At 49.4% G+C, this 12,285-nt stretch overlaps 1 long non-coding RNA gene across 5 annotated transcripts in view, besides 1 other annotated feature; it reads right to left on the bottom strand.

The window, feature by feature from the left end:
* The window catches only part of LINC00673 (long intergenic non-protein coding RNA 673), a 189,483-nt gene extending 179,337 nt beyond the window's left edge, over positions 1-10,146 (bottom strand). For all 5 annotated transcript variants that reach the window (NR_152515.1, NR_137280.2, NR_152516.1 and 2 more), the window contains exon 1: positions 9,545-10,146. This is a non-coding gene — a long non-coding RNA (long intergenic non-protein coding RNA 673). The remainder of the gene's footprint in view (positions 1-9,544) is intronic.
* Positions 10,224-10,273: a silencer, noted in NCBI's record as "silent region_8916". NCBI's record gives its function as "represses an Ori minimal core promoter by ATAC-STARR-seq in GM12878 lymphoblastoid cells {active_cell/tissue: GM12878}" and the evidence as "EXISTENCE:reporter gene assay evidence [ECO:0000049][PMID:35858748]".

The following is a 12,285-nucleotide window of genomic DNA, read 5'->3' on the forward strand; positions in this document are numbered from 1 at the left end:
CAGGGTTGGTACAAGGAATTGGGTCACTGGACCGGGTCATTATTTCGGGGACAAGCAACATCACCCAATGGCCAGTTTGAGCGGTGAACCTTGAATGCAGGCGCATGGGCATCCTCCCCCTAAGTTGGTACCTGACAAACAGATACCTAGGATGGTAAGGGCCCAGAGAAAGGTTTGAGAAAACCATTCAGGTTCGATCACAACGGTGCGAGCAGGGAAGGGGGACAGCAGAAAAAGAAGGCAGCGAAGGTGATGAGGAAAGCAATTCCAGGAAAGCCCAAAGCGCCCAGCAGTCAGGGTGGAATGAGAAACCCGGACCGCTTCAGCTCCTTGGTTAACCGCATTCCTGGTTTCCACTTAGAAATTTAATTAAAAACCCAAACACCTGAATTTTCCGCTGGCTTGCCAGTGGCCACAGATTCCCTGAGGTTCAGAAACACCTTCCTCGGCTTAGTCCTGGATCCCCTAAAGAAGTCTGGTCTGAAACCAAAGGAGGAGGGGGTCACGGTCAGGAATCATGAAGAAGAGGTCACAGTCAGGGGTCATGGAGAATGGGTCCTGGGGGGCACCCCCACCCCTCCCAGAGAGAAGAAAGCCTCCAGGCAGGGGCGACCCTGTTCTATCACCCCAACTTCAGCAACAACAACTTTGCTTCTTGATGTTTAATTTTATTTTATTTTTATTTATTTTTTTTTTTTTTTTTTTTTTTAGAGACAGGGTCTTGCTCTGTCACCCAGGCTGGAGTGCAGTGGGATAATTATAGTTCACCGCAGCCTAGACCTCCTAGGCTCAACCGATCCTCCCACCTTGGCCTCCCAAAGTTCTAGGATTACAGGAGCGAACCACCACGCCCAGCCACTGCTTAATTTTAAAAATATAAAGAAATATCACCGTGAAGAAATTAAAATGGAAAACAGCCACATTTTTGGTGGCTCTGAGGTGACAAGGCCACTTTCCTGTCCATGCAGAGAAGGTGCAGAAGCTGCGAGGGGCTAGAGCCCTGCAAAGACTGGGATCAAACACTGTCTACCATCTGTCCCCCCAGGGCCAGTGAAATCACTTACTACAAACGCCTAATCTCCCTGGCGGCTGGACATGCGCATGGGGCACGGAGGAGCCAATCACAAACCAGAACCGACAGGAGCCTTGGGGGCTCAAACTCAGCCTGGGGAATAAAACCACAGAAGGGAGGTGATCGTCTTCACCCAGCCACACACCCCAGGTCCCCACGGGAGCTGCCACCGAACTCTGACATCCACCATGATGCTCAAAAGGCACTTTTTTTTTTTTGAGACGGAGTCTCGCTCTGTCGCCCAGGCTGGAGTGCAGTGGTGTGATCTCTGCTCACTGCAAACTCCGCCTCCCGGGTTCACGCCATTCTCAGCCTCCCGAGTAGCTGGGACTACAGGTGCCCGCCACCACGCCCGGCTATTTTTTTGTATTTTTAGTAGAGACGGGGTTTCACCGTGTTAGCCAGGCTGGTCTCCATCTCCTGACCTCGTGATCCGCCCGCCTCGGCCTCCCAAAGTGCTGGGATTACAGGCGTGAGCCACCGCGCCTGGCCTCAAAAGGCACTTTTTAAGCACCTCAAACTGTGCAGAAAAGTGTTCTCTACTTTAATAAAAGTTCCACTTCCAGCAAACTTTATATATGAAAGCGTGACTCCGCAGGGCAAGCAGCAGGGAGGATTCACTCTAGAATTCTCCTAAACAGTGAGTCCAGTCTCTATCCTCCCATCCCTCCGTCTCCACACCAACACTTCCAAAATACTCGCTCTTCACTATGTGTGCCAGATTAGGAGTTAGAGTGGGAGGGCTGGTCCACAAGGTCAGTACCTATCCACGTCATTTCACTGACTAGTGCTTTAATGCCCCTCCTGTAAAACAGGATGACACCTGATCATTTCACCAGGTTGAAGGTACTATCACATGGCATATGGGCACAAAAGCAATTGGAAAACTCCAGTTCAAAGAATCAGGGCCTACGGAACGTGCTAGGTCATCAAACCTTTTCATTTAGAAAGAATACTTGTGGCAGATTCAGAGCTGGGCGCCACCCCCACCAACTCGGCCGCTCCTCACTTCCTGGACACTTCACTCTTCGTGAAGATGGCTTTCTTAAAGCAAAAAGCACTTCACACACATTAGGATGGCTATTCTCAAAATAAATAAATAAATAGATAATAATAAAAGAATAAGAAAACAAGTCTTGGCAAGAAAATGGAAACTTTGTGCACCATTGGTGGGGATGTGAAATGGTATGGATGCTATAGAAGATGGTATGGCAGGCTGAGTGCAGTGGCTCGTGCCTGTAATCCCAGCACCTTGGGAGGCCAAGGCAGGTGGGTCACCTAAGGTGACCAGCCTAAGGAGTTCAAGACCAGCCTGACCAACATGATGAAACCCCATCTCTACTAAAAATACAAAAATTAGGCCGGGAGCGGTGGCTCACGCCTGTAATCCCAGCACTTTGGGAGGCCGAGGCGGGCGGATCACGAGGTCAGAAGATGGAGACCATCCTGGCTAACACGGTGAAACCCCGTTTCTACTAAAAATACAAAAAATTAGCCGGGTGTGGTGGCGGGCGCCTGTAGTCCCAGCTACTAGGGAGGCTGAGGCAGGAGAATGGCGTGAACCCAGGAGGCAGAGCTTGCAGTGAGCAGAGATCGTGCCACTGCACTCCAGCCTGGGCGACAGAGCGAGACTCCATCTCAAAAATAAATAAATAAATAAATAAATAAAAATAAAAATACAAAAATTAGCCGGGCATGGTGGCAGGCACCCATAATCCCAGCTACTAGGGAGGCTGAGGCAGGAGAATCACTTGAACCCAGGAGGTGGAGGTTGCAGTGAGCCGAGACCACGCCATGGCACTCCAGCCTGGGCAACAAGAGTGAAACTTGGTGTCAAAAAATTTTTTAAAAAGTTAAAATTAAAAAAAAGAGACAGTATGGTTTTTCTTCAAAATATGAAAAATAGAATCACCATGTGGTCCAACAATTCCACTTCTAGGTATATCCTTAAAAGCACTGAAAGCAGAGACCCGAACATTGCACATCCGTGTTCCTAGCAACATTATTCACAATGGCCAAAGGTAGAAGCTACCCAAGTATCCACAGAGAAATGAGTGGATAAACAAAACGCAATATAAACATACAGTGGGATATTACTCAGCCTTAAAAAGCAAATTCTGACACATGCTATAACATGGATGAGCCTTGAAGAAAGTAGGCTAAAGAAATAAACCAGACACAAAAGGACAAATACTGTATGATCCACTTCTATCAGATACCCAGAGTAGCCAAATTCATAGAGACAGAAAGTAGAACAGTGGTTGCCAGGGGCTGGGAGGATCGGGGAATGGGGAGTTCGTACTGAATGGGTACAGAGTTTTAGTTTGGGAAGAAAAACTTTCTGAAAATAGGTGGTGATGGTTGCACAACAACGTGAATGTACTGAATACCATAGAACTGTGTACGTTAAAGTGGTTAAGATGGTAAATTTTATGTTGTGTATATTTTATCATAATAAAAATGGTGGGCCAGGTGCAGTGGCTCATGCCTGTAATCCGAGCACTTTGGGAGGCTGAGGCCGGTGGATTGCTTGAGCTTAGGAGTTCAAGACCAGCCTAGGAAACATGGCGAAACCTCATCTCTACAAAAAATACAAAAATTAGCTGGGCATCCTGGTGGGTGCCTGTAGTCCCAGCTATTCAGGAGGCTGAAGTGGGAGGATGGCTTAAACCCAGGAGACGGATGTCGCAGTGAGCTGAGATCGCACCGCTGCACTCCAGCCTGGGCAACAAAACAAGACCCTATCTCAAAAAAAAAAAAAAAAAAAAAGAGAAAAGTAGAAATGTTTTAAAAGTTTTCAAACTTAAAGTATAATAATAAAAGAAAAAAATAAAATAAAATAAAGTTTTCAAGTAGTTAAGTGAAGAAGGCATAACTGCAGAAACCTTCTCGTCACTTAAAGCTCAATAAGGGTTTTACTCACATAGTGAAATTGTCCCCAAAGGCCAGCACCTCAGACACCTTCCTTTCACTTTGTAAAGCGCAACAGAACCCCCGCTTCCACACAGGCTGCTAAATCTTCAAATCAGCTTCCGATGGGCGCCGAAGACCACCACAGCCCACATGCTGAAGAACCAAAGCGGCTGCACCAATGCCTAAAAAAGCATCCAGCAGGCACTGAATATTTGTAGAATTAAGGTAAGAGGAAGTCCATAGGCAAATGATTGGAAATACATCTATCATTAGAGAAGGAACACTCCATGGCTAGCTCAAAAAGCATGCCCTGAAATCCCCACTCAATCATCAGAAGGGACTGCTGGGCGGGCGGGCATGGTCTTTCCTGGCCTATCCTACTGGGACTTCCCAGTCCAGCAAACACCAAAAAGAAGTAAATTGCTAAAGTAAAATGACCACTTTTGAAGCAAAGGAGGTAAGTCTGTAAATCATTAAAACTGGACCCTAACAATCGGCATCTTCCAAACCTTGGGGGAGCCTCACAGACCTGGGGGTCGGAAGGTCTGGTTGATTTCTGCAGCTCCAGAACTGCAGTCCCTTGGTCAAACCCCTAAACGAAGCCACATCTGTTTATCACATACAAAGGCACCTGGTTTCCAAGACGTCCATGCAAAAACCTGTACCAACAGACCAAATATGGGAGGAGATGATGATGATTCACATTACAAAAAGAATTCTTGGGCAGAAACTTGCCACTTCAGCATTCTTCTAGGTTGCACGATTCCTCCGGGCCTTTTGAATATCATGTGATCAACCAAGATTGGTTTTGTATAGATGTTTTTCTAGGCACAGGCCTCGTCTGTAAGGCAGGAACACCACCAGCTGACTTTGAACAAGGGGTCTTTCGCCAACAGCATAATTGAAAACAATTCATCCAGGATCATTCCTGTCCTCTTGTGAAGTGAGCTGGGTGCATCAATCACATGAACAGGGGATGCTAACTTGGTGTGGAGGACCCCAACCAGCTCCATGATGACAGTGACATTGTCTAGAACAATGGTGGCCACAGACAGAAGCAGCAGTGGTCTGTGTGGGTACACAAACAAATGTGCCAGGATGCTGCCTGGTCAGGGACACGTTCCAAGCTCCCAAAGAGCTTGCCTACCTGAGGGGAGAAAATGCCCAGAGCTGTAGTTCCTTTATCATTCACCCAAATGCAGCCACTCCTGTCTTAACCAAGTATAAAGGGCATCTGACTTCAAGGCTCCTAAGTAAAAACCTGTACCAACAAACCAAACAAGTACATGCGGGGGCCCAGACCAGTGGAGGTAAACCAGAAAGGCTTCCTGGAGGAGGAGAAAGAAAAAAACACTGTGGTTGGGTAAGCTTCAGTGGGAAAATGTTCAATTAAGGCTTTATCTGGCCAAGAAGTCAGTCAACTTCCTGTTTTCTTAAAGTGCCTGTGTCAGAATGGCCTGGGTGGCTTGTTGAAAATGCAGACCCCCAAGCACTGAAGGTGAGGGGCTGGACGGGGGTGGGTGCTGAGAATATTCATTTATAACGCGTTCCGCAAGCAATTCATTCTTATGCAAACCACAATTTGAACACCAGGGGACAGGTGGGGCAGTCCTAAAGTGAACAGTCTGCACTGCACTGGAGTAGATTCTAGAAAAGCTGCAGCGTCTGAGTAGGGAGGACCCACCAGGAGACGCTGAGGACAGGGACAGGCAGGTGTAGACAGAGGTGCCTTCCAGAACTGTTTAGTCACAACAGCCGCAACCCCTCTCCCCGCGAGACTTCCTGTTATGATCCTCACTGGAGCTGGCTAGTTACAGAAAACGTCTGTACCAGTTCACAAGGAGAGAGAAAGACATGAATATCCTTCAGTTTACAAGCTACAGTAGGAAGGTTGGGAGCATTTCAAAAAGGAAAAGAAAAATCAAGTCTAGGCAACCAGACCCTAACATTAACACAGAAACTCTGTCTGGACAACAGAAATCTGTTTTGTTGAGATTTAAGTAACGTCAAAACTTCCTTATCCCAAACAAACATCGCCTTCGCTCAATGCAGGCAACCACTCCAAGTCAGAAAAGACACAGTGATACTCAAAGCAGACAGCCTCAATTCACGTGTGCGTTACTGGCTGACCATGCGGTCTCTTTATTGTAAGGACAGGAGAAGGGCCCCTTTCCTGGGTTTCTTCAAATTCACACAAGTGGACTCTTATGCAAAGATCCTGGGCTAGCCTCCATCCATATCAGCCACCTCCAAAAATCCCTTCGGGCTAGCTCTCCTCACCCCAAATCTTCTCCTGGAAGAAAGTCCCCTAAAGAAAAGGAGAATCACTTCCTAACCCAAAATTGCTTAACAATACCCTAAATCCATTTTGAGTTCAGAGCAGAAATCCGTGTTCCTTCCAATCTGCTCAGATAACCAGGAAATGCTGTACCTGCTGGGTCTGCACGTTTAGCTCCCGACACACCTGCTACTCCAGCCGGCATGAGTCACCCACGCAGGCATTGCACGGTGTACTTGTCAACCACGGATTCAGTGGCTCAGCAGCTTGCTCTCACGCACACCAGATGGCAAACGTCTACCCCCAAAAAGACGTGTCAGGGCAGACCGGCTAATAACCCAATTTCACTCAATGACACATTCCCACTGTAGGTTTGGGGAGAGGAAAGGAGGGAGGGGGTACACAGAGATGCTTTCCCCACTTATGGGCAAGCTCCCATAGGCCCTGGAAGCCTGATACGGCTCTGCTACCGTCAGTAGAGGAAGGGCAAATTCACCTGGGGAGGAAAATGAAAATGACGTCCCAATTTCAAACCTCCTCCTGAACAAAGGCTGTCTTCTCTACCCCTCTGGGTTCCCACTTTTTACAAGGTCCCATTACAGGATCCCAAATTGGACCCTGGACCAGAAAAAGGACATGAGTGGGACAAATGGATAAATTTGAATGAGGCCTGTAGACTAGTTAAACGTGTTGTGTCAGTGCCAGTATCCCAGGTCTGATCATTGCACCATGGATATATCAGATGTTAGCATTTGGGGAAGCAGGGTAAAGGATATAGTGGAACCCTTGGCATTATTTTTGCAACTCCTGTAAATCTAGATTTATATCAAAATCAAAAGTTAAGTTTTTAAAAAAGACAGCATGTTAAATCTAGCTGCCTGATATATCTTACTTTATGGTATTGCTAAAAAAAAATTTACATCGGCCGGGTGCAGTGGCCCACGCCTGTAATCCCAGCACTTTGGGAGGCTGAGGCGGGCGGATCACGAGGTCAGGAGATCGAGACCATCCTGGCTAACAAGGTGAAACCCCATCTCTACTAAAAATACAAAAAATTAGCCCGGCGAGGTGGCGGGCGCCTGTAGCCCCAGCTACTCGGGAGGCTGAGGCAGGAGAATGGCGTGAATCCCGCGGGGCGGAGCCTGCAATGAGCCGAGATCGCGCCACTGCACTCCAGCCTGGGCGACAGCGAGACTCCGTCTCAAAAAAAAAAAAAAAAAAAAATTTTACATCATAATCCTGATGACAAATTTTAAGTTATTCTCATACCAATGCTGATCAACTCTTTGATACAAAAAGAAACAAAACAAAACACTTCATTCCCTCAGCAGCCATTCACTCTGTGCCCCTTCTGCGTCCCCGCTCCAAGATGCAGTATTATCTGATGGGTAAGTGGTATCTTTTCCTCTAAGCCCATCTCGGCAATATCCAGAAATAGAGTTATTCCTTTGCTTTAGACATAACTCTAACTTAAAGCAAATATAGCAATTTCTGGGAATTTTCCAAAGAAAATAATACAAAATGTGGATAAATCTTTATGTACAAAAGATGCTCACTGTATTACTTCTAATGGTAAAACTTTGGAAACAACTTAGTATCCAACAATAGGGAAATTGCCAAGCCAATTATGAGTCAACGCCTGCAGCAGAATACAGTTACCATGCCGTCATGACATGGGGGAAACGTTCAAATAAAATTACACAAAAAAAGAGGAGGAGAAAAAGTTGTATACATTGCAGGATTTCACCAGTGAGGAAATATATCAAATTGCCAGCATTACTGTGTGAATTGGATGTTTTTCCTGCTTTGGGCACTTTTGTGTAGTTTTCTATAAAAGAAAGAGAAAGAGCATGGATTACTTTTTAAAATCAGACAGGGAGGAGGAGTGGTGGGGTTGGTTATCAGTTTGCCTGGCGGTTTCAACCTTTCCTCTCCCGGAGTCAGTCTAAGCACAGAACTGGGGTGGGGGCAGAGGGTGGGGAAGGGCCGCAGGTAAGGTGCTGTGTCAACCTGGGCAGTTCCAAACCCTGCATGGGACCAGGGGCACCGAGGGCCCCAGCTCCCAGGGTAGGGGGTCGTGCCACTATGCACTGCCTTTTCTTCTTCCGGTGCTGCTTTACTTTCTCTTGCTCCTGGAGCAGTGCTCACTGGAGACGCTGGGACCCTGAGCACTGACCAAGAGTGATCCCTGACAGCGTCAGATTCCTATGCAGAAGGGACTGCTGGGTGGGAAATGGATCACCGACAGGTTCTAAATGCGAACCCACAGGCTGCAGGAGAGGGGTGAGGGGCGAAGGAGGGAATCCCACCTCTGGGAAAGCATCCTCAGGAAACCTAGATAGGTCCTGGAGGTGAGGACAATCGCCAAGGAGGGAGAAGGAAAAGGAGGACCCTGGTTAATCTGCACGCCAAGGGTGGAGTCGCTCAGTCATTCATTCAACAAACATCTATTCAGTGCCTACTCAGTGACAGGCATCGCGCTGCCCCCAAACAGGGCAGACACAAAAGAACAAGGGGAGGAGGAAGCTATGGATACAGAAGCGGTATGCTTTCAGTTCCAGACTCAAGACGTAAGCCCTCTCCCCACATTGGCCAAGAAACGACTTCCATTAGCAAGTTGCGCCGGAAAGGGGAGGTGGCGGGTGGTCTCACTGGACTGAATTCCTGCCACCTCCCACCTATTCAGAAAGCCCGTCCACACCCTGGCCAAACGCGTACCAGCGTCAGCCTGACGGGTGGCCCAGTCCTCGCCGGAAAGCTGCTTGCCAAACGCCCCCGCTCACCCCCTAGCCCCAACGGTGAGAGGGGCTCGGCTGAGTCGCGTTCTCCAACCGCTGCGCCCCAGCAGCGTCCCCGGTCGCCAGTGGGCGGACGCCAGGAGCTCACGGAGGCGGCACCGCTCCCGAAGTAACGGAGCCCGGAGGGCGCCCAGGCGTTAAGGCAAGTGCAAGGGGCCGAGCGGGTGCGCCGAGGACGCGGGGGCGTCTCCCCCAGCTGAGGTTCGGTCCCTCCAGGCAGCCAAGGCTTGGCAGCGCTAGAGGCTGAAGGACAACGGCCGAGAACGCCCAGGATGGGGTGGTCGCTGACCACCGTGTCCCAGGTGAATCAGCTCCGCTTGGAGGCAGGGGGATGACTAAAATGACCTCCAAGAAGATGTCAATTACAAGAACAAAAATTTCAACCCGGAATCTCGAGACCTTCGAAAAACGACGCGGAGGAAAAAAGGAAAGAAAGAAAAGAAAGTAAATCAGATCCCTTCCCCGAACCGCAGGGAAACTTACCTCCAGCTTGGCGACCCAGCTGTTAAGCAGAACAAATCAATCCACGGATGGAGAAGAGGTCGTGGGTCTTCTGAGCCCAGCTGATACACACCAAGTAATCCACGTTAAGGGGTCCGCAGCCCCCCACCCAATTCCCCACTTTCCATCCAAGGCCAAAGAGCAGCCAGACCCTGTCCTCTGCGCTCCAGACTCGCGGAGGTCGCGGGCGGGGGTCCTCAGGCGGCCGCCTTCTCGTCCCCAGGGGTGGGCGCGCGACGCGGGCAGGGACCGGGCGCCCGGAGGACCAAGCGAGCGCATCCCGCCTACTCGTGCTGGGACATCACCCAGCCTGGACGCCGCTCCTCGCCTTTCTTCCCCGCGCATCGCCAGCGCCAACCAAAGATCCCCGCCGGGAAAGCCTCTCTGCCAAGCTGGAAAGCGCTGAAGGCGGATCGTCTCTCAGACTTGGGTTTGCAGGTTCACAAGGCCCGGGAGGCTTACGGTGGGCGCCTGCCTAACAGAGGGTCCTTGCGGAGAAGCGCAGAACGACAAATGCCAGAGGCGGTGACCGCGTCCTCTGGATACCAGCGCCGCACCGCGCACCCGCGCCGCCTGCGCGCCCTGCAGTCGGCTGGGCCATTCGGCCCTTATATACCAGGCGGACCCGCGCCGGGACGGGGCGGAGCGGGGTGGGCGGGGAGGGGGTGGGGAAGGCCGAACGGCTTCCTGGGAGTCGTAGTTCGACTACGTAGTCCTGTCGTAGTCAGAACAAAAGCTAAACAAGGATGGAAATGGTTAGGGTTTGCCCACCACAGCTGTCCTCCCTTGCGCCCTTCCTTCACAGACAAAGCTGGCATTCCAGTCCTATTGTCAATGCCGCTAGGTCTATTCTGGCCTTTGTGCATAAGGTGGGTCACACCAGCCCCGAATGCCGCCCAGGATGACAAACCTTGGTGGCCCTAGAGTCAGGTTATCCCAGCTGGGCCCCACTTCTGGAGACCAGAGGTCCGAAATCAAGGGGTTAGCGGGGTTGCTTGCTTCTAGGGGCAGTGAGGGAGAATCTGTCCCGGGCCTCTCTGAGACCTGGTGGTCATTGGCTATCTTAGGCGTTCCTTATCTTAGGCGTTCCTTGGCTTGCAACTGCCTTACCTTCATCCTCCACCTTTTACACGGTCTTCTCCGTGTATCTTTTCACATAGTTTTCCCTCTGCGTGAATCTCTGTCTCTTCACACTGTGGTGTTTCTACAAGGATGCCAGTCATATTGGATAAGGGGCCCACCCTGATCCAGTACGACCTCATCATTAACCAATGACATCTGCAACGACCCTATTTCCAAATAAGGTTACATTCTTGGAGGTCCTGAAGATTAGGACTGCAATATATTAATATTTTGGAGTTGTAGGGGGAAAAGTTCAACCCCTAACAGGTCTTCTATGCCTTGTTGCACCTATTAACAGCCATTGTGACTAACCAACCCTTTTGATAAAAGCAAGCCCTGAGAAGCAAGATGAAATCACAAAATCACTGAGGCTGTGACAGGAGGGGAAGCCAAGAACATTGGAATCTCCTGGGCCAGGTTTTCCTGTGGCCACGGTGGGATTGCTGGAGAGGAAATGGTCAGAAAAAGAAGGCATCAGGTTGGGCGTGGTGGCTCATGCCTGTAATCCCACCACTGAGGTCAGGAGTTCGAGACCAGCCTGGCCAACATGGCAAAACCCCATCTCTACTGAAAATACAAAAAAAATTAGGTGGGCGTGGTGGTGCATGCCTGTAGTCCCAACTACTCAGGAGGCTGAGGCATGAGAATCGCTTGGACCCGGGAGGCGGAGGTTGCAGTGAGCCGAGATTGCGTCACTGCACTCCAGCCTGAGCAACAGAGTGAGACTCTGTCTCAAAAAAAAAAAAAGAAGGCATTAGTATTGAAAGTAACAGGAGGCACCTGGGTAAATGGGGTTGGGGAGGGGAGAAGATAGACAGGGCATTCCTAGATGCCCCTGAAGCACAGACTTGATTTTCCACCTGCCACTGTGCCCAAGTTTCCCCCCATTCAAGTCCCAGGCTATGGACAAGCTCAGGTCTGGCCCTGGAATCCTGGCTCTCACCTGGCGCTGACATTCCCGGAGAGTCAGTGGCAGTGCAGGGTCTGGATTGGCCACCATTTCCACTCTGAACTCACAATCAACTCCTCTCTTGCTTCCAGGTAAGAGAAAAACTGAGGCCAAGATGAATGTCAAAGGCAGGGATATCCGAACTCCCTAAACCCTCCCCTACAGGATATTGAGGATAACGCAGCTTTGCTGCTAGGAGCCGCCTGACCTTCTCCCCACTTTCCAGAACACGGGCTGCATATTCCTAGCATACGAAAGGGCATCCAGTCGTCTCAAAATGGTATCAGTGCCTCTTGCTGACTATGCATGGTTATTGTTTTCTCCTGCGTTATAATTCATTCTAGTCCTCAGTCTTCTTAAATTTCTGCACACCAAACATTAGTCACTTGAATAATTAGAAAAATATAGAAATTAATTTTAACTCATCATTTATTTCTTCTCATTGCTGTGAGATTGATTTTCCCCAGGTAAAGCTGGAATCATGTCTCTTCCTTGCTCCTAAAACATCCAGAGAGGTATAAACCCATGTTTAGCATAACATAGAGATGACAGATACAAACATACATACATACATAGCTAGATAGAGGTAAAAATAAGAATTGTATGTGTACATGCATTAGCATACACACACATATATCTCCTTTCTCTCTCT

The sequence above is a fragment of the Homo sapiens genome, chromosome 17 (assembly GCF_000001405.40).
Source record: "Homo sapiens chromosome 17, GRCh38.p14 Primary Assembly".
Lineage (NCBI taxonomy): Eukaryota > Metazoa > Chordata > Mammalia > Primates > Hominidae > Homo > Homo sapiens.